Below are 20,517 nucleotides of genomic sequence, written 5' to 3' on the forward strand. Positions count from 1 at the left end.
CTTCTTCATCACCACATTCACAGGGAGTATTTATTGAGGGCTTGGCAAGTACCAGGCACTGGTCTGAGTAGCAGGTTTGACTTCTCTCCACTGCCAGGGGCGCTCTGGAGCTGGAATGCAGACGGTGGTCAGCGAGTGTAATTACTGTTATTGTCACCACTCACCCTTCTGGCATTGTAAAAGCCTCCCAGCACATCTGACTGAGGAATCATCTATCCTCATTGCTCGGAGGAGGAGGGCAGACAGGAGCCTCTGCAGGGAGTGTGAGTTATCCAAAGCCTCCTGACTCGAGAAGGGCACTGAACCCCAGCAGCGGGAGGTGCTGCTGACAGAGGAATGACCAGAAGGGGGATGGGGCATGGTCCATTTCCACACTTCTCTGTCTGAGCTTTTGGGGCCACTGGGAATGGCTCTTCACCCAGGCCTCGGTTTCCCCTTTGGCTCAGCAGATGGATTAAAGGAGGCCGTTTCCAGAAGCCCCTGGGGTCTCAGAATCCAAAATGACTTGGGATGTTGAAACTGTGGGTGCTTGAGGAGCACTGAGAGGGGAGACGGGTCACCCCCCGGGGGGACGCAGGTCAGCCGGTCAGTCGTGCGTGGCCTGGCTGGCCTCCTGCCCGGCTGCCTGTCACCCGCTCCCTCCCGACTGCCTTCCGCTCTGCCGGTCAGCACTGGCTCCCGTCGGCTGCCAAGGAGGCTGGACTCTCCTTCAGGAAAGGGCAGTTGTCGCCCTGACCTGGGGGGTGGGCGGACAGCATCCAAGGGCCCTGTTGCCGTGGCAACCCCGGCCTCTCTGTGGGAACTTTGGGGAGACTGGCCCTGGGAGGCGACAGATGGAGGCTGAGGAAGCAGAGTGATCCCCGGCCCCTTCCTGTCCCTGAACACTGTCTGCCTGGATGAGGGGTGAGGCTGAGGTGCCCCCTTGCCCGGCGCTGAGTCATGGGCATCCCCCAGGATCACTGCCTCAGCGCTCTCAGCCCTGCCCCCTCCTGGTCTCCCTCTGAGAAATCCATGACTCACATATATCGTCCGTCATCCCCAGTCAAGCTCAGGGAGGAGGGAGGAGCCCAGCTGGGGCAGGAGAGGGGTGTCTCCCCACCAAACAAACCCGGTCCCTCCCTCTCCGCACTAGCTGTCTGCCCTGCCCTGCCGTAGGAGATGGGCTGGGAGCCTCCCACGCTCTCCAGCTCACTCGGCAGGCAGCGGGGACCAGGGCTGGCAGGTTAAGCCTCTGGGGGTGGATCCTGAAAGGTGGTCCAGCCGCCTGGCCCTGCGTGGGACCCTCCACCTGGCAGCAGGTACCCAAACAAGGGCTGGACAGCAGGTGGGAAGGGGAATAGTGTGAGTGTGAGAGTGTGAGTGTGTGAGCGTGAGTGTGTGAGAGTGTGAGTGTGTGAGTGTGAGTGTGTGAGAGTGAGTGTGAGTGTGAGTGTGAGCGTGAGAGTGTGAGAGTGTGTGAGTGTGAGTGTGTGAGAGTGAGTGAGAATGTGAGTGTGAGTGTGAGAGTGTGACTGAGCGTTTGAGTGTGAGAGTGTGAGTGAGTGTGTGTGAGTATGAGTGTGAGTGTGAGTGTGGGAGTGTATGTGAGTGTAAGTGTGGATGTGTGCATCCGTGCACGGGTGGCTGTTGGACAGTGGGTAGGGATGGTGGTGAAATGGGGAAATGGGGGGGTCTTGGTATCTTGGTGGGATCTAGTCCAGGTCAGCATGGCTGTGGGTGGGTCTCTAGAGTGGGGGCGGACCCACAAGGAGATGCCTGGGAGGGGACTGGGGCCCAAGGGGAGCGACACCTCCCGGGGCTCCCAGGCATTTTGTTGCTGGAGAAACTGAGGCTCAGAGTGGTACAGTCACTGGGCCCAGCAAGCTGGGGTCTGCTCTTTAGGCTGTGAGATCAGTGCTCCTACTACACAGATGGGAGAACCGAGGCTCTGGGAGGGCAGGTGGCTTGCCCAAGGTCACCTAGCACATCCAGGTATAGAAAGCCAGGGGCCAGGCTCAGGGAGGGGGTGGCACTTGAGGGAACTCCTGAGGACAGCTTTCCTGCAGCTGTCCCTGGGGCTGGGTCCGGGGTCCCCACTGAGCAAGGGACAGCCGTGCTCTTCATCACCAAGGCCAGCTTTGGGAGAAGGTGGCCCCGCAGGGTCTCTGAACGTGGGCCACGTGGGTGAGAGTCCTGGAACCGGTGACAGGCAGACGGGGAAGCGCAGGCTGCGGGCTGAACACCCTGCCCGTTGCCACCAGACCTCAGGGCTCCATCTGCCTGGCACTGATAGGACTTCCCACCCTGGTCCCCGCGGGGGCTGGGAGTGTGTAGGAAACCAATGATTCCTGTCCTCCCCCGTCCCCAACCCACCTCCCCTGCGTGGTAGAGTTGGGGTCTCCCTGTGCCCCACTGGGAGAGGTCTGATGTTCATTTTACTGCGTAGGGAGGAGGGGATGGGTCAAGGCAGGGGCCTCCCACCCCCACCAATGTGGAGCAGTTGTAGCCTGGGGTCCACGGGCTGTGTAGGAATAGCCTTTGTTGCTCCTTCAGTGGACCAAGAAAGTTATTTATAGAAGCATTTATTGAGCGCTTACTGTGCACTCTGTGCTCTGTCGGGAACATGGCCGTGGGTGAGGCAAATAAGGTATCTCAGAACTCGTGAGTGGCCCAGACCCAGAGCCAAGCCCCCTGCCCCTCCCAGAGGATAGCCCCGGGCAGCCTGTTGGCTCCTTGGGGTCAGAGACTGTGTGAGAAGGAGCATATCTGGGCATTAATAACCATGGGCTGCCAAGTTGGCTCCCCAGAGCCCAGGCAGGGGTCCTGTTGGGCTCTTTCCTGCCAATGTCCAGGTGTGGAATGAGCTCTTAGGGCCAGACCTGACCCCTTCTTTGCTGCAGGGACCCGAGATATGCACCCACCTTGGTCACAGCATCACTGTGGCCCCCTTGCCCTTCCTCTCCTCTCGCCTCAGGAGCTCAGCTGCTAAATGGGTGTGTAGGGGTGATCACAGCTGCCCTGGCTCCCGTAGGCCTGGGGCTTGGCTCCGAGAGTGTCGGGTGATGGAGAACGCCGCTCCAGGTGTGATCTGTGACGGACAGGCTGTGTCCCGGCCTGGGCCACTGGGCAAGGGCCAGTCAGCCTGGTGTGACACTTCCTTTTGTCAGGGATACAAACAAACAAACAACAGTTAGGAGGTGAGATGGAGGCGTGAGATAAGCTTGCTAACAGAGGGCCCAGAGAAGGGGAAGAGGACCAGGGAGCCTCTGCGGAAGGCACTTAGGCTGGGCTTGGGAGAAGGTGGGAGGGGAAGGGACTGATGTCTGTATGAGCACTGTAGGGGGAGTCCTAGTGGAGGAAACTACTTAGGAAAACATTTGGGGAACGATACAAGCTGGGGACCACGGGGAGGGTGATACCGGACCCCTGGCATGGGTCATTTCATGGGACTTGATGAGCCAGGCCAGCAGGTCTCAATCTGCTCTGTGGGGGGGAAGAGAGGCAGGAGGACTCGCCAGGCAGGTGCTGTGTGGGGCTGGGGGCCCAGGCTGCAAACCCAGCAGGACGGGGAGGGCCAGGATGGGTGTTCAGTGTGAGGTTGGCCAGGCAGTCCCAGTCTCTGGCTGCTGGGTTAAGGCTCAAGCTTGGGAGCAGCTTCACGTGTGAGGGAGACGAGGGGGAGGTGGCGCCCAGTCGAGGGGAAGGACAGGAGAGAGGTGGCAGAGCTGCAGCAGGGTTGGTGTAGGGGTTGGCCTCCTGGCAAGGCCCAGCATGACAAAGGCAGGTAAGAGGAGTGGGCAGGACAGCCATGGAGGGACCACTGCGGACCGTCCTCCAGCCGGACTGGGATGCGGGTTCCGCCATCCTGTGCAGAAGCTGTGTGCAGGTGGGGTCTGGGGGGCTGTGCCATTTCAGGGATGCAGGATGGGCTTCCATGTGGCAGGGCTCCCAGGGAGGCCATGGAGGAGGCCGTGGGGAAGTCGGGTGGAAGTAGGGAGGAGAGGGGAGTGTGACAACAGAGCCCCAAACCCCAGCACCACCTCCTCCTCCCAGACTGGAGCTTGATCAGGGCTCAGCCCCCGTCCCCATGCTGGGGGTGGCCCTGTGGACCCCGCCTTCTGACTCACAGCAGATGGGGACATCATGTGAGCAAACCCAGCAGTCAGGGGTGACCAGACACAGCAACTGGGCAGATGGCAAATGGGGGGCGGGGCGGGCTGGCACAAAGGGGTCTCTCAAACCGGGTGGGGCGGGGCTGTGGCACGGCCTCAGCCTCCCAGGCCTCCTTTCTCCTGAGCCGTCACTTGGCTGAGACCCTGCCCCTCCTCCTGTCTCTGGTGCCCCATCTGGGGCTCCTTGAGGCCCCCAGGGGAGCCCTGTAGATTCTGGTCTTAGGTCTGGACTGCTGGGTAGAGGGGCCAAGGGTTGGGGAGTAGGAAGGGACACACATTTTCTGACCACTGCCCAGTGCCAGCCTGCCCTGGCAGGAGGTCAGCTAAGCCCCAAACTCTCCCTGGTTCCCTGATGGCTCAGCCTGGATGGGAGCAATCCTGGACCTTCCCTGACCTCAGATTCTGCCAGGCCCTGGGCTCAGTGCCTTGCACACGACACCCACTTTTCAGATGAGGACATTGAGGCAGGGGAGGCTTACCCAGTGAGCAACCCCACATCTTTGGGGATCCAGAATTTGGGCTCTTGTCCCTTGGTGGAGAGGAGGCTCCTCAGCCAGCCAGGCACATGCTCGTGTCTTGAACCCTGCCCCTGCCACTGCCAAATCCACGCACCTGTAGGGTGACAGGGCCCGTAGAGACAGCAAGGGTGGCTTGCCCAGGGAGAATCTTGGCTTTGTTTCTCTCTGGTTGTGGGAACATGGGCCTGTGCCTCGGTTTCCTCATCTGTAAACTGTGGATCACAATCACATCTGCTTCAGAGGCTATTATGAGCATGAAGAGAGTTGATAGAGGAAAGCATATGGGAAAGTGCCTTTCCCATACGTGGGAATGTTAAGCCTTTTTTTAATACCTCTCCCATTGGACAGATGGCTGTATTGAGGCCCAGAGATAACCTGAAATAACTGTGAGCACTTCTCCCTGCCCCCGCTACTGCTGGGAGAGCTGCGGCCACCTGGACACCAGTGGCGCTCACTCACCCACCTCCAGCCTGACTCGTGCTTTGGTGAGGAGGCCAGTGTGGTGGGCGTCGGGCTCCCGAGCTGGCGCCTGCGCAGGCTCAGGCAGTTTGTGGTATGCTTGGCAGTTCCAGGCAGAGATAAAAGCTCAGCCCCGGAGGAGCTGGCATGCTTCCGGGCACCGGTGGACAGGCCTCTCTGCATTAGTGGGAGATGGCCTGGCGGTGGGGAGATGGCCTTGCTGTCCAAGAGCCAGCCCAACCCTGGTGGCCTGAAAAGTTCTGCGGTGAATGGCTCTGGCTTGGCTTCCCAGACTCGGGGCCACTTACACCAACTGCAAAACAAGGAACAGTGAGATAGAGAGCCGCCTCTGCCACCTCCCAGGCCCTTTCCCCTCCCGTCCCCAGGTCTCTGTCCTCCTAGTACCCCCAGCCTGGATGCTCAAGGCCCATGGGGGAAAGCTGACTTTTGAGAGGAGCTGTGGAGACTTGCATTCCACTGCCAAAGATGACAGCTTCTCTGGACCCGTTTCCCTGCCTGTAAATGGAGATAACAATACATCCCTTTGCAGGGTTGCTGTGGAATTTGGGGCAAAAGTGGCTGCAAAGTATGTACCTAGCACAGTGCATGACTTCAAGAGGTTCTCCCTAAACCTCAGCTGGAGGTTTAATCTTCCAGGTCATGGGCTCATTGACTTAGGCTCAAATCCTTGAAAAATGACTTAGAGCAAGCGGCTGAATTTCTCACAACTTCATTACTTGGGCTGTGAAAGTCTCTGATACCTAAATGCGGCTTTGTGGGGATGAACCGAGACAGCCACACGTCATAGGGGCTCATGAGACGCAGACCCTGTCCCCAGCTGTCCCAGACCTTTGCTTTTCCATCCCTCAGCCAGGCTGCCCCCTAGGAGAGGCAGCACGAGGTGGGCTGTTAGGGGTGTGGGCTCTGGGGCTGCCTGATTCTGTCCCAGCTCTACTGGCTGTGTGGCCTGGGACAGGTATATTAACCTCTCTGTGCCTCGTCTTCCTAATTGTAAACATGAGGCTGGTAATGGCATCCTGAGAGGATTAAGTGAGCCTCTGTATTTTAAGTGCTGAGTGCAGGGCTGGGCACACCTCAAGTGCTATTGTAATTGCCCCTTCTGGGCCATGACCAAGCCTTGTTCTTAGAGAGCATTGGAGACTTTATCCGGAACAATGGTGCCATCCTCCCAGGATGTTACCGGGAAAACCACCAATCCTGTGACAGCTTCCCCTTTGGACATGCCCATTCCTGGGGTCTTGATCTGCTGCCCCGAGGCATTGTCCAGCCTGGGACTCCTTCATGTTCCCCAAGACCTGAGACCTGACCCAGGTTTTGGAGTGAGTTAATGTGACCCTGGGCTGGGGAGCTGAGCTGGAGCCATTACCCACAGAACCGCCGACCTTTCAAAGGACCAGAGGCCATGGCCCTAGCCCTGGAGAGGAGGCCTGGGTTCCAGTCGAGCTGGTTTCCTGGGACAGAACAGCACTGTGGTCACTTCTCTGCTGGGTGAGTTCACCCTAGGCCCCTGGGAGCTAGGCTGAGCAGCTGACCCCTTCTGGGTCCTTGGCTGAGTCTGGGCCTCAGGGTGTGGCTCTGTGGCTGGCACCCTGGGTCTCGGACCCTGTGGCAGGGGGTCAGACAACTGCCCAGACCCACCTGCTTTGATGGTGACAGATGCTAGGGGTGAGCCCAAGGGGCTGGCAGGGGCCCCTGAGTCATGCTCAGCCCTGTGCCCTCTGCCCACTGCTCCTCTGCTGTGTCACCATCTGGGCACGGGCCAAACAGTTCAGGGGCGACTCACAGCCCAAACTTCCGCCCCTGGGGCATACACTTCACTGCCTACAAAGACCCTCATTCAATCTTGAGTGCTGCTGGCCCTCTAAGACTTGAAACTTTATCCACATTTCACAGATGAGGAATCAGGCCCAAGAGCTCGGAGCAGTCAGTGGTAGCAGAGCCCGAACCCAGTCTCCTGCCTCTTAGCCTGGACTTTTCCCCAGAGTACCACAGATGGCCATTCCCATGATAGGTAGTGAGTTCCCCACCTTTGTAGGTGTTCAAGTGTGGCAGGGGCGTTGCAGAAGCAACTTTGGCATCGCATGGGGCTCCTCTTCATGGCTGCTTCCAGCCCTGAGCTTTCCTAGCCTTGGGGGAGATGGGCACCCAATTCCCACATTCCCCGGAGTCGCTATGTCCTTAAGCATCACATGGGTCTTTCTAGCCGCATCAGGCCATGCTTGTGGGCAGGTGGTGCCTCTATCTAGAAACCCTCTTCATAGCCTGGCTGTCTGGCAAGGTTCTTCCAAGGAACCTCCACCATGAAAGCCATGAATGCATCTTCAGAGACCCCTGTCCATGTGTAAATAGCTCAGTGGGCTGGATGGGAGGGAGCAGAGGGGGAGAGGGACCCAGCTGAAGAGGACTGGAGTGAACAGGGAGAGGCTGAGGGAGGTCAGGAGGGCAGGACACCCACCTCCTGAATCTTCAGGACCCCTTGCTCTCCCTTATCCAACAGGCTTGAACCTGAATAGGGGCATTCCTGACCCCATGGCACTTCCCCTGCCCCCCACCTGCCTAGAGCCATGGGCAGTGGGCAAAGCTGGAAGAAACCCTCGTGCACAGCTTCCTCAAAGCTGTACTTATCCTATGCCATGGCTGTCCTGGCCACACCTTCTGGGGGACTCTGCCACCTGTGTGCACACCTAGGGGACCAGGTGCACACGGTCTGTCCTCCAGCTCCTCTCCTGCCTGCCTCCTGGCACCTTAAGTGGAGGTGGTGGGAGCTGGGACCAGTGCAGCACCCTTGCCAGCCATGGTGGGGGAGGACAGCCAGTGTCTCTTCATGGAGATCCTGCAGCAGGTGGTGGCATGCCCCAGGGTCCCGTCTCTGTCTACCTACCTGGGTTTGGGAAACTGGAGTCAGAACCTTTAGTGATTGCGATCTAGGAAGGACGGTAGTGTTTGCAAACCACGTGAGCACAGGAGTGAGCAAGGTCCAACCCCGCCCCTGTTCCCTGGGCCGTGAGGCTTTGGGCCCTGTGGCTCAGCCCCTCTGAGCCTCCCTTTCCCTCTCTATGGAGTAGCTGCTGCCGACTCTCCATGTCGTTGCCAGGGCATGCAGGACAACAGAGGCAGCCCAGGGAAAGGAGTGCACCATGCTCCTTTGGATCCAGTTTTACGAGCTCTGTGTCCCTGGGCAAGCTCCGTGTCCCTGTGTCCCTGCTATAAAATGGGAATGATAGTACCTCCTCATAGAGTGGCCCTGGAAGCATGGGAGGCCAAGTGCATATCCTATGGTTTGCACTTGTACGTGGCTCCCTGCCCTGCCCCAGCTCTGCCTCGTGAGTCTCTGCAGACTAGTCCTCGGGACACACCCCACCCCCAGCCTGCTAGATCGCAGGACCCCATGGCCATAGGCACGTGCCCTTTCTCCTCCTTGCTTGACCTTGGAGAGCCCATGGGGAGCCCAGGTGGGAGCTTGGGGTCTGCAGCAATGGGAACGGGACCCACTTTTCTTTGCACATCTGCTACCTGGGCTCCCCTTAGGCCCGAACCACAGGAGTGGGCCTTTGAGGGTCTTGGGGGTGGTAATTTTGCTTTAATGTAGAGAGAAAATCCAAGGTTCAGTGCTCACAGATTCAGATGGAATCTCAGACATCTTCTAATCCAGCAGCCATTAAAGCTGTCTGTGGCCCCAGTGGCATAGGAAAGGCATGCGCTCCCAGGCTTCCATGCTGTGGGACTTCTCAGAGCCTTTATCGGGAAAACAAAGGGGAGTTTGCCTTGTGTTTCAGATCCTATCAGGCTATGCACAGTCTTGGGAACCGTTCTCTGGCCAAGCAGCCGGCAGAGGTGTGTGTGCTCCTGATCCTGTTAGATGCTGGAGAGTGGAGATGGCTCAGTGCTTGAACCCTCTCCATCCCCTATCCCCTACCCCTCACATAGCCTGAGTGGCACTTTTGGGTTGGATCTTCTAGATCTTCTATCAGGAATGGCTATCTAGTATCTATCAGGAATGGCTCCTTTTGGGAAGAGGTGTGGAGCCTGCCTGCCCTGGGTTAGAGTCCCAGCTCCGTCTCAGTCTTCATTTACTCATCCAGCAGTCACTGGGGATCTTCTATGGACCAGGCACTGTGCTAGGTACTGGAGATGCAGGTGGTGAGCAAGACAGGTGAGACAGCAAAGCTGAGCAAGGGATAACAGGTAAGCAAATGGCAGAGTCATGTCAATGTTGGGTGCCAATACGGGTAATAAATCACATGGAAGCGAGTGATGGATACGGAAGATAATTTTAATTGGGTGGTCATGGAAGGCTTCTCAGAGGAAGGGACATTTGAGTTGAGGCCTGAGAAGGAGGCAGTCAGGGAAAGGGTCCTGGAAAGGATGTGCTATGCTGAGGGAAAAGTGCACGCAAAGACCCTGAGGTGTGTCTGAGGACAGAAGTCTAGAGTGGCTGGAGTTGGCGACTGCAAGGAAGGGATGGGGTGGCGTAAGGCTGGGGGACGGGAGTAGGCTTGTGGTCACTGGCTTGTGATTTCAGCAGTCCTGCTGCTCCCTGAGCCTCAGTTCTCTGACTTACAAAATGAGCTTCATCATTTCAGTCCCCGCCCCGACCCTGGTCGGGAATGTTGTAGGTGTGAAGTAAGACAGTGCTTTGGCTTTTGGCTCTGGGCAGCAATGAGCTATTGCAGTTATTTTTATTATTACTATGAGTGGGATGTTTAGGGACTATGGGTGGGGCTGGGGAAGCTGTGCCTCTGTTTCTCCGGGTTGCTGTTGTAAGTGAGTGCCAAGTGTATGTAAAAGGCGTGGTGTGCCTCGTCTGTACCTCCCCCCAGGTCCCCTGAACCACAGCCCCTTGCCAGCTCCCTTTAAGCACAGGATCCTTTGATGCAACAGAGGCCGCCTTCTCCGGCCAGCAAGCCTTGTGAGCCTTTCCGGGAGAAGGTTTCACCAGAGAACAGCAAGTCCTTTCTTTGCTTTCTTTTCCTCTTCCTCCGGGGGCCAAAAATAGGGCCTGAATGGGACCCAGCTCTGGGCCTGCAGTGAGACAATAGCAGCCTCCTGACTGAAGCTGCCTCCTGGCTCTGCTCCACGGAGGGGCGGGGGAGAAGGGGAGTTGCAGAGACACCATCCCCTCAGCCCCAAGCCCCTGCTGCCTTTCCCATGGCCTCTGCCAGAAATCATCCCAAAGCCCCTTCCTCTGTTGGACTCCCCTCAGAATGTGATTGCCAGTGGGGTTCCCCACTTGTGCTCTGAGAAAGTGCTTGTAGCTGGTTGACTGAGACCCCAGGACCTTTTGCACCCCTGAGCAACCCCACCCTATCTGCTGGCCTGGAACCGAAAACCTCGGTGGGGGTTCTAACCCCTGGTTCTTTTCTGTGCCCTGTCTGGGGCGTACCACAGTTTTTATGTCCTTTTCCCTTTGACTCAGTGGGTATGAAAAACTTAGAGATCAAAGGAATGTGCCCTCTTGGAAGAGAGCGAGCTCCCTGTCACTGGAGATGTTCAAATAAAGTTGGCTGAGCATTGAACGTGGGGGAGAGTTAGGGATTAGCCAAGTGCCAGATGGACAACTGGTCTTGATAGCTTCATGTCCCAGAGAAAATCTCCATTTAAATTCCATACCCTTCCCTTACCAGCTAGGTGGCTCACAGCAAGTCACATCCCCCGAGTCTCTGTTTCCCAATCTGTAAGGTGGGTCCCCTAGGGCTAACCTTGCAGAGTGGTAGAAATGGATCTCCAAAATGCCCAGTGTAGTTCCTGGCACACAGTAGGAGTTTCAGAAGCTCTGCCTCTATTTTCCTCCTTCCCCAGACTGGCAAAAGAGAATCTGAGCTCCCAGCCCCGCCCCGGGAGCTCTAGAAGGAAGCCAGGAGGAACCTCCAGGCCTAGGGCTAACTCAGAAGGGGGATTCTTGGTAGGCTGTGGCAATCTGAGGAGGCTTCCTGGAGGAGGTGGACCCTAAGGAGTTTTCAGAGAAATATGATGCACACATTGTGCTCACAAAAGCCAGTGGTGGGATTAGAGGGTGTTCAGCTTGTTTTGAGGGCAGGGCCACAGGCTGGCAGCTTCCAGAAGCAAATCCAGCTACTGTTAGGCATAATTTGGTTACTGGGTGGCCTGCACTGGGTTCTAAAAAGATTTGGTTTTGGGCCAGGCGCGGTGGCTCACACCTGTAATCCCAGCACTTTGGGAGGCCGAGGCGGGCATATCATGAGGTCAGGAGTTCGAGACCAGCCTGGCCAGCATAGTGAAACCCCGTCTCTACTAAAAATACAAAAATTAGCCGGGCATGGTGGTGGGCACCTGTAGTCCCAGCTACTCGGGAGGCTGAGGCAGGAGAATCGCTTGAAACTGGAAGGCTGAGGTTGCAGTGAGCTGAGATCACGCCACTGCACTCCAGCCTGGGCGAAAGAGCGAAACTCTGTTTGAGAAAAAAAAAAAAAAGATTTGGTTTTAAAGTCAATGTTGACAAACTTGCAGATTTCATGTAAAAACCTGGGGCTCTGCCTCTCTCGAGAAATTGGAAGCTCTGGCTCTTTGTGGTCCCTTCAAGACAGGCAGGTGTCCCCGGGGCTCCCCATAAATCGCTGTCCTAACCCCTGCCCTCCCTCCTGCCAGCTCCCTGTCTGGCCTGGGCAGCGTCTGAGTTGAGGACTTGGGAACAGGACAAGTTACGGAGCCACGTTGCTTTGCTGGGTCTGAGCCGGGGTGTGACGTAGTCCCTGCAGCTGCCAACGGTTGCCAGGGCAACGGTTGCCAGGGGCTGCTGTCACCTGCGCCCCTTCTCCCGCGCTGGCGGCTGGGGCTTCTCAGCCTCTATTCCCTGGCTGTCCCCTTTGTTTGAAGCTCCAGTGAGGGAGCAGTGGCTGGGGTGGCCCAGCTTCAAAGTCTCTGTCCTCTTGAAAAAAGGTGGTCGGGGGACATTGACCCACCAGCCCCGCAGGCTACTGCCTGCAAACAAGAACCCCTCATCTGCCACGCACGTTCTTAATGTATCTATAGTCTGCCTGATGCCACAAAGGAGTCCAGGTACGATTCTCCCGCCTCCTCTCCCCTCCTCCCCGTCCCTTTCACTCCTGCTCCCTCTCCCTGCTCCCCGCTTCTCCCCTGTCTTCCTCCTTCACTCCCCTTCCCCTCCAGCTCGCCTCCTTCCTCCCCATCCCTTCCCCTTTATCTTTTTCCTCTCCCGTGCATTCCCCTTCTCCCCAGCATTGATGGTGTAGCCAGTGGGTGGGGGTGTGGTGGCACTAGGGACCCTGGGGGGGTCAGATGGTACTCCAAGGGACTTGGGCAGTTTAAGACAGCAGCCTCAACTACAAGGAAATAGTTGGGGGTGAGAGCTCCACACCCGTCCCTGCAGCCCAGCCCTTGCTGAAGATTCTTTTGGGTCCCTGGGCTGCACCCCCGGTGTCAGAAACAAGCCTCTGACAAGTCCAGGGCGTGAGGGGACTGGAAGTGCAGGAAAGAGCCACCAGTGGGGCTGGGATCCAAGGTCACCTGGGTGAGTTCTGATGGGCTCCCTGATTTGGGCCCTTGGGAGGATGGCGTCCAGCTGAACCCATGGAAACACATTGTTGGAAGCTTTCTTTACTGTGACTTTTCAAGAGATGTGCTTTCTAAGAGTCAGGTAAGTTCAGGAGGGAAATAGGCTTGCAGATGGACAGCGTGTGTCCTGGAGCCAGCCCTGGGTTCGCATCCAATCTTCATTACTTGCTAGCTGTGTGACCTCGGGCAGGTAACTTGACCTCCCTGGGCCTCGCTGGCCTTATTTGTTGAGTGGGTGTGATGGTACTTGTCTCAAGGGTTTTGAGGAAGCTTAAATGCGTGAACATGTGTAAAAAGCTCACAATCCTGTCTTGCATTTTCGAAGAGCTTAATGAACATAGTTGTGTCACTGGAGGTGGTGAGCACCCCGCCTGCGGGGTGTGCAACCTCTGATGGTCAGTGATGCTGTGCTGTGTGCTCAGGAGTGGGGATGGAACTCAGTGCTTCTACTTCCCTTCCCTGGACGGGGCCCAGGCACAGTCAGGCTCGGGCCCCCAGCCTTGGTAGGGGAGAACTTTGTTCTTCTCAGCCTACTTAGTAGGGGAGGGTGCTCTCGGCCCCTCAGCCAGTGATCCAGGACCTCGAGGAGGGGGAGGAAAAAAGAAAGGGAGGGTTGGTGGCCAGCCTGGGAATGCTAAGTGTCCTGCGCTCCAAAGATGGGAGTTTGCCAGACCTGGGGTAGTTGAACTGCTAAGCAAGGAGGGAGGTGACTGGGCTGACCTTGCGGGCCTGGCCTTGGGCAACGTGGGAACACAGATAGGGAAGGGGAACCTCAGCCAGACAACTGAGGTCCGGCTGTGGTTTGAGAGGGAAGACAGTCTAGAGGGGTCAGGGGAGACGGTTCAGCATCCTCTTTGTCCCTTGCTACCAGCTTGGAGGTAAGCTCTGTTCTTACCTGTAGGCATCCTGAAGCCTGCGGGAGCCTGGAGGGCCCTGGCTGCAGAGAAGGCAGTCAGGGGACAAACATCAGAGTTGCCCACTTGACAGAGGAGAAAATAAGGCCCAGAGAAGGGACAGGCTGGCCTCAAGATTCCAGTTGGCTGCAGAGCTTGTCTGAACCTTATGCCCCTAACTCCTGCCACCCCTGCTCTAGGCATGTACATTCCCTGGGCAGGTACTGACTGGTGTGTGCCCTGGCGCCCAGGAGGCTGGCCTCAGCTGCTCCTTGGAGATGGCCAGGTGGAGACTTGGCCATGAACCTCTACGTGGCTGCAGACCACCCCAGGAGCATAAGCTGAACAGGCCTGGCACCAGAGTCTTCGGACTGCTGGCTCTTTGGCTCTTTGAGGTCCCTTCAAGACAGGCTGGTGTCCCCAGTGCCTTCCTAATCCCTGTTTCTCCTTTAGGTTCTAAGTCTCTTCAATCAATTCTAAAAGTCCTTTTTTTTTTTTTTTTTTGAGACAGGGTCTCGCTCTGTCACACAGGCTGGAGTGCAGTGGTGTGATCTTGGCTCATCGTAACCTCCACCTCCCGGGTTCAAGTGATTCTCATGCCTCAGCCTCCCGAGTAGCTGGGATTACAGGTGTGTGCCACTATGCCCAGTAATTTTGTTTGTTTGTTTAGAGATAGGGTTTCACTGTGTTGGCCAGACTGGTCTCGAATTCCTGGCCTCAAATGATCTGCCCACCTTGGCTTCCCAAAGTGCTGGGATTACAGGCGTGAGTCGCCGTGCCTGGCCTCCAAAATTCTTCTTTTCTTTTTTTTGTTAATTTGTATTTAGAGACAAGGTCTCACTCTGTCACCCAGGCTTGAGTACTGCGGCATGATCATAGCTCACTGCAGCCTCAAACTCCTGGGCTCAAGCAATTCTCTTGCCTCAGCCTCCCAAGTAGCTGGTACTACAGGCAAGCACTACTACCCCTGGCTTCAATTCCAAAATTCTAAGAGACTTTGATTCTCATCTCCTAAAACTCTTGCATCTTCATATTCTTTCTCTCTCTTTTCCAACATCCTGAGTGTCTTAGCTGCTTGAGATGAAGTCACAGGCCCAGCTGGCCACGGCCAACTTTAATGGAATGGCACACCTGGGACAGGCCTGGCAGTGCCCTTTTCCCCACGAGCTGGTGCTGCCGGCCGAAGGGAGGTGGGATAGGCCTGAATATACCCCAGGCTCACCAGGGACCTCTTTCCTGGAAGTGTCAGGGATGATGATGAGTGGCCCTGGGGAATGCCTAAGTGTCTCCTCTAGCTCATCTCATGCTAGCTAATGACCTTTGGGACAGCTCAAAGGGGAAGGGAGGGGAGGGGGCTGGAGGTGCTGGCAGGCTTCTGTGTGGCGTCAAGATTTCTGAGAGCTTTTTTCCATGTGGATAACAGGTGTCCGTGCAAAAAAGGCTCTACCTTCACGTTGGGTTGGGAAACTGCCCAACCAAGCTTTATGGGTTTCTTTCCTGCAGGACTTATCAGAGCCTTTGATATGCTAATATACAACAGAAAGTATGGCCCACAAGCATTTCTCTAATCTGGGGACTAGTGCTCCCTGAAAGTGCTTTGGCAAGTTACCTCATGGTAAAGATGGGGAGACTGAGTCCCAGAGAAGAGAAAGAACTCAGAAGACCACAATGGCTAAAAGTTTGGGCTTGGAGGTTAGGCGGACCTGAGTTTGAGTCCCGGCTTTTCTGCTTATTTGCTGTGTGATCTTGGGCATTACTTAACCTCTTTGGGCTTCAGTTTCCTAAAGTGGGGACACTGATAGCATTTGCTTCACCAAGTTGCTGCGAGGATTGCATGATTCATGGGCTCTGCTCATAGGGTTACTGTGAGGATTGAACAATTAATTTTTTGCCAAGTGCTTTGCAGGATGCCAGCGGCTAATTGAGCACTTGGTGAGTGGAAGCTGTGATCCTCCCTCTCCTCTTAGAATCTCCCTGGATTCCAGGGCCCTTTTCACTGCACCAGATAAGACCCCTGTTTAGTCCCACTCATCATCTGGTGTCCTGCCAGGCATGGGGACTGGGAGGATGTGGGGGCCTGAGGCCAGGACACTGGGACTCTCACAGACGTGTCACAAGGTTGTCATCACAGGGAGGAGGACCAGTGTGTGCAAAGGCTTGGAGGTGGGAGCATCCAAGGCCAGGCTTCTTCCTGGCTGGATGACTATATGTTGGCTTCTCTGAGGCCTCTTAAGCAAATGCCCAGTTCCGCATATGGGAGGCAGCAGGGCAGCCGGCTTTGGACAACTGACTCTCTGGGAGGACTTGGAGTCCCTTCCTATGAGTGGGTCCTTCCCTCTCAGGCTGGCAGGGAGTGCCCCAACTTCTCCCCTTTGTCACTCTTCCCACAGGGTGTGTCTGGGCAGGCAGAGGGTGTTGTGGCTCAAGCACTTGGTTGGACCAGAAGCCACGGGGACAGTGAGGCCTGAGCTGGCGGTATGGGGGGTGGGGGGTGTCCAGCAGGTCTGGTGTAAGAGTGTGAGGCTCACCCTGGGCAGTGAGTGGGCCAGGCCTGGGCACCTGCCAGCCTCCGAGGCAGGCAGCTTGCTTCATTTTATTCTCCTTTATTGTAGGAAAATTCCTGAAAACTGAAGTCACTCTGCTTCTGCCAGTGATCCTGGAATACCCCTCTTGGGGAGCTCTCTGTGGTCACCTAGCTTGGACTTCCGTCACTCACTTGGGGAGTGGGAATGGGGGAGGGGAGTGGGAATAGGGGAGGAGAGTGCTTCTGCCTTTGCAAGCTGTTATCCCAGGACCCATGGGTGCGGCTGAGGGGTGGGGGGACTGGGCTGGGGGTGGGGCGTAGCCCTGAGTGCCACCTGGGTCTGACAGGGGTGTCTACTTTGAGCTGTTGGGTACATGCTATTTCCAAGTAAGATTTACTTTTATTAAAAAAGTTTGGAAACCGTTGGAGGGAGGGTCCTCTCAGACGCCACGCCACCCACCATGGAGGAAACACCTGCAAGAGCCCTGCTCTTTGCACTGTGCCCCGCCCTCCCTGTCCCCTTCCCAGCTTTGAAGTCTGTTCCTCTGAGGAGCTCCCCGCCTTCTCTTGCTTTCTCCTCCTGGCCCCATGCATCCCTGTGTATGCACGGGCACACGCACTCATGCACACACACTCATGCACACACATGCACAGTCATGCACGGGCACACACACTCATCACACACTCATGCTCAGGCACACACTCATGCACACAAGGACATTCATGCATGGGCACACACACTGATCACACACTCATGCACGGGCACACAGCCATGTGCACACAGACATATGCACACTAATGCATGGGCACACACACTCGTCACACACTCCTCACACATTCATGCACATGCACACACTCATGCACGGGCACACACACCCATGCACACACATATGCACACTCATGCATGGGCACACACACTCATCACACACATGCGCAGGCACACACATGCACACACGGACACTTATGCACAAGCACACACACTGATCACACACTCATGCAAGGGCACACACCCATGCGCACACACATGCACACTCATGCATGGGCACGCACACTCATCACACACTCCTCACACACTCATGCACAAGCACACACATGCACGGGCACACACTGATCACACGCACTGGCACACACTGATCACACGTATGCACGGGCACACACCCATGCACACACACATATGCACACTCATGCATGGGCACACACTCATCACTCCTCACACACATGCACACACTGATCACACTCATGCAGGGCACACACACCCATGCACACACACATGTACACTCATGCATGGGCACACACACTCATCACTTCATAACTCATGCACACACACACTCATGCACGGGCACCCACTGATCACACACTCATGCATGGGCACACACCCCCATGCACACACACATGCACACTCATGCATGGGCGCACACACTCATCACACACTCATGCACATACACACACTCATGCACACGCACACACACCCACATGCCTGTGTAACTCGCAGGAGTTCATCCTCACCCTGCCGCCCGACCCCCTGGGCCAAATCCTTGCTTCCAAAGGCTCAGCAGCTCAGTGTCGTGCCCCAGCAGCCCACAGGAGAGCAGCTGCGGACGGGAGGGGAGCTAGGGCAGTGGAAGTTGAGCTGGGGGGGTCTTCCCCTCTGCCTCTCCCAGCGAGGGCCCATTTAAGGGGAAGGCCTCCAGGTGGGCAAGACTAGGCTGGAACCTGGAGATTGCCTCCGGGGCTCCCTCGTTCCTCCCTCCTTGGCTCCCTTCCCACCCCACCACCCCCCAACCTGATGCCTGCCCTTCTCCTGATGTCTTTCAGGAAGCCCCTTCCAGGGCCCCGCTAAATGCTGGGGGAGCCACAGAGGAGCCTGATGGGTCTGCGTCACAGGGCAGGGAAGAGAGTGCTGGAACGCAGGCTGCCCTGGCCCCGAGTCCAGGCCCTACCATCTAGCAGCTGAGGGATGCGGGGCCAGTCCCTCCCCTCTCTGACCATCTCTAAACCAGGGCTGCTGGTGCCTTTCCCTGGTTCATAAGCCCGTGGTTCCCAAGCCTGCAGTATGTCCATCAACGGGATGCTTGTTAAAGCCAAGCTCCCAAGCCCACCCCATCAGACCCTCTTTGGGCCGGGACTGTGAATCTGCATTTCAGCTCACTCCCAGAGGAAGGTCTGACCCACCGGCAGGCTTGGGAGCCTCTGATGTGAGCGCCTGTGGCAATGGGGGGCGTGTTGTGTTGAGGGTGGGTTGTGGGCCAGCAGGAACATGCGTTAATTTTGGCAAGGAATGGACGGGTAGGTGAGGCTTCATGGGGAGGACTTGTCTTAGCTCGTCTCAAAGATGAGCGGAATGTCACGGGGCTAAGTGCTATCCAAGGCAAAGGGACACCAAGGGGCAAAGGTCTGTGGGTGGGATGCCTGTGCTCGGGGGCGGGCAGTGGTCACTGTGTGTAAAGGGAAGAAGGAAGCAGTGGATGGCCAGGTTCGTGGGTCTTCCCGGCAGGAGACAGCAGAGAGGCGCCTGCCCGGGAAGGGTTAATCCCAGAGCCGTCCAGGTCCTGTCCACTCAACTTCCACCTCCATCCTCTGAGGAAATGGGTTTTCCAGGAGCTTGGCCTGGGCAGCGGTGACTCGTGGCTCCACACGGAAGTGACTCAGGTCCCCCGGGAGAAAGCGAGCCGTGGGTCCCCACTGCCCACCGTGCAGAGGGGCAGGGCTGAGCCAGGTCTGGAGCTGGAGCCCTGGGGGTGGGGCGGGGGATGGGCTGGTGGTGGGGTGGGGGTCTCAGCTCAGACAAACCCTGGCCACCTTCCACTCTGCTGGATCCTTGGGGAACCCCATGATGTGGCCCCCATTGTGTCAGACTGGACTGGCCTGTTCTGTCCTGTGTGTGTTTACGGAAGGTCTGAGGTCAAGGGCGGCTGCTCTGGAAGCTGGGGGTTGTGGGGGCTTCCTTGGGCCTCAGCCCCAGCACCCTCTATCCCAGGCTGGATTCTCTGCTACTCTCCATTCTCCTCTCCTTCCCTTTGTGGGGATTCTAAAGCCGGGGAGTTGGGAAGGATGTGCATCTCTGGGGCCTTTATCAATGCCAGCTCTACAAGGAGGGGGAGACTTGGCACCACGCTCGTGTGATCTCAGAACACACAGCCTTCCCCAGCCTCAGTGTCCGCATCTGTAAAATGGTAGCAGTGAGACCCGTATCACAGGGTGGTTCTGAGGGTTTGGTGTGATAACGTGGATGTCACCACTAACATTATCATTGCGGGGGTGTTGCTAGAATGCCCCCTGCTCAGCCACTCCCTCTGGCTCTGTGTGAGCAGAGGCAGGGCCCTTGCCTGTGGGGCCGTGGTTGGTACTGAGCGCCTGATGGCTGAGGCCCTGTAGCGCTGGGGATCTGCGGCTCCAGAGGCAGAGACAGGTCAGGTCCCAGGGGTCTGTGCGGAGACTCATGCTACATCCCTGGCGCCTGGGTGGGTGGGTGGGCAGGTGGCAGGTGTGTGTGCGTGGGGCAGACCTGGAGGGGTGGCATAGGCAGGGATGAAGGAGGGGCGCTAAGTGGACAAGCGTGACAGTGTCCCCCTGCCCAATCTGTGTGGCAACTTTCTTGTCCCCAGCCCAGCTCTCCTGTCCCAACGGGCTTCTGGAGGAGGGAAGTTTTCTGGGTGGGGTTTAACCTTCCATTGCACTCTCCCGGAAAGGAAGCTTCATGCTCTAAGAATTTCCCCTCAAGGTGCTCTGGTGGGTGAGCTGGTTGCTGGGGGCCGTACGGGAAGAGGGGGAAACAGGGAGGAGGGGCCTGTGACAGGCCCAGGGGGCTGAGTTAGGGGCAGGCATGAGCTGTTTAGAAAGTACAGAGATACTTAGCTGAGACTGATGGCACCTGCCTCTAAGCCGTTTACAGGTATCAATTCATTTAATTCTCACAATGACCTTTGAGTGAGGTTGACTTCTTTATTCTTCTTTACTAGTGAGGAAAGCGAGGCCCAGAGAAGGTGAGTAACTAGCCCAAGGACACACAGCTAGTGAGGGAGTCAGGATTTGAACCCAGGCAGTCTGGCTCTAGAGTCTACCCCATGGGTTAAAGGAAGCCAGCCAGCCCCTCCCCTCAAGCCTCAAGCATGTTAATGGAGCCAGGGCTGTCCACCTTGGAGTAGTTGTTCAAACAGCTGAGGTGGAGTGGGGATGACTCAGGAAGTGGCAGGGACAGTTGGTCCCTTGTGTGTGTCTGGATTTCTTCCGTGGAACCCCATGTTGTCGCTTCACTTGTTTCCTTCCAATGATGGGGAGCTCTCTACCTGTACTCCCCTCCTTTACTCTCAAGGGCCAATCCAGGAGGGCTGAAGTGACACGGTGGTTCTGCTTTGTCCTTCAGCCATGCCTACTGACAGTGAAGGCTCACTTTGAAGGTCAGTAAGCCAGGGAGATGC

The 20,517-nt window shown here is 56.8% G+C and overlaps 1 protein-coding gene across 62 annotated transcripts in view, besides 4 other annotated features; it reads left to right on the plus strand.

Moving 5' to 3' along the window:
* Nucleotides 1-20,517, plus strand: part of ADGRG1 (adhesion G protein-coupled receptor G1) — a 45,830-nt gene that overhangs the window by 7,767 nt on the left and 17,546 nt on the right. For 13 of the 62 annotated variants that reach the window (XM_006721340.4, XM_047434907.1, NM_001370428.1 and 10 more), the window contains exon 2: nt 14,087-14,204. The exons of 11 other annotated variants lie outside the window; for them this stretch is intronic. The gene's annotated coding sequence lies outside the window, so the exon portion shown is untranslated. Of the gene's footprint in view, nt 1-1,125; nt 1,325-11,987; nt 12,167-14,082; nt 14,205-18,570; nt 18,816-19,385; nt 19,509-20,517 lie in introns of those variants that run through there. 38 more of the 62 variants (NM_001370440.1, XM_047434906.1, XM_047434910.1 and 35 more) reach the window with 12 other exon arrangements.
* Nucleotides 307-962: an enhancer, noted in NCBI's record as "H3K27ac-H3K4me1 hESC enhancer chr16:57661723-57662378 (GRCh37/hg19 assembly coordinates)". NCBI's record gives its function as "activates a minimal SCP1, AML or CMV promoter by ChIP-STARR-seq in naive H9 embryonic stem cells {active_cell/tissue: H9 hESC(naive)}" and the evidence as "EXISTENCE:reporter gene assay evidence [ECO:0000049][PMID:30033119]".
* Nucleotides 963-1,618: an enhancer, noted in NCBI's record as "H3K27ac-H3K4me1 hESC enhancer chr16:57662379-57663034 (GRCh37/hg19 assembly coordinates)". NCBI's record gives its function as "activates a minimal SCP1, AML or CMV promoter by ChIP-STARR-seq in naive H9 embryonic stem cells {active_cell/tissue: H9 hESC(naive)}" and the evidence as "EXISTENCE:reporter gene assay evidence [ECO:0000049][PMID:30033119]".
* Nucleotides 1,168-1,237: a silencer, noted in NCBI's record as "silent region_7535". NCBI's record gives its function as "represses an Ori minimal core promoter by ATAC-STARR-seq in GM12878 lymphoblastoid cells {active_cell/tissue: GM12878}" and the evidence as "EXISTENCE:reporter gene assay evidence [ECO:0000049][PMID:35858748]".
* Nucleotides 3,587-4,242: an enhancer, noted in NCBI's record as "H3K4me1 hESC enhancer chr16:57665003-57665658 (GRCh37/hg19 assembly coordinates)". NCBI's record gives its function as "activates a minimal SCP1, AML or CMV promoter by ChIP-STARR-seq in naive H9 embryonic stem cells {active_cell/tissue: H9 hESC(naive)}" and the evidence as "EXISTENCE:reporter gene assay evidence [ECO:0000049][PMID:30033119]".

The sequence above is a fragment of the Homo sapiens genome, chromosome 16, assembly GCF_000001405.40.
Source record: "Homo sapiens chromosome 16, GRCh38.p14 Primary Assembly".
NCBI lineage: Eukaryota > Metazoa > Chordata > Mammalia > Primates > Hominidae > Homo > Homo sapiens.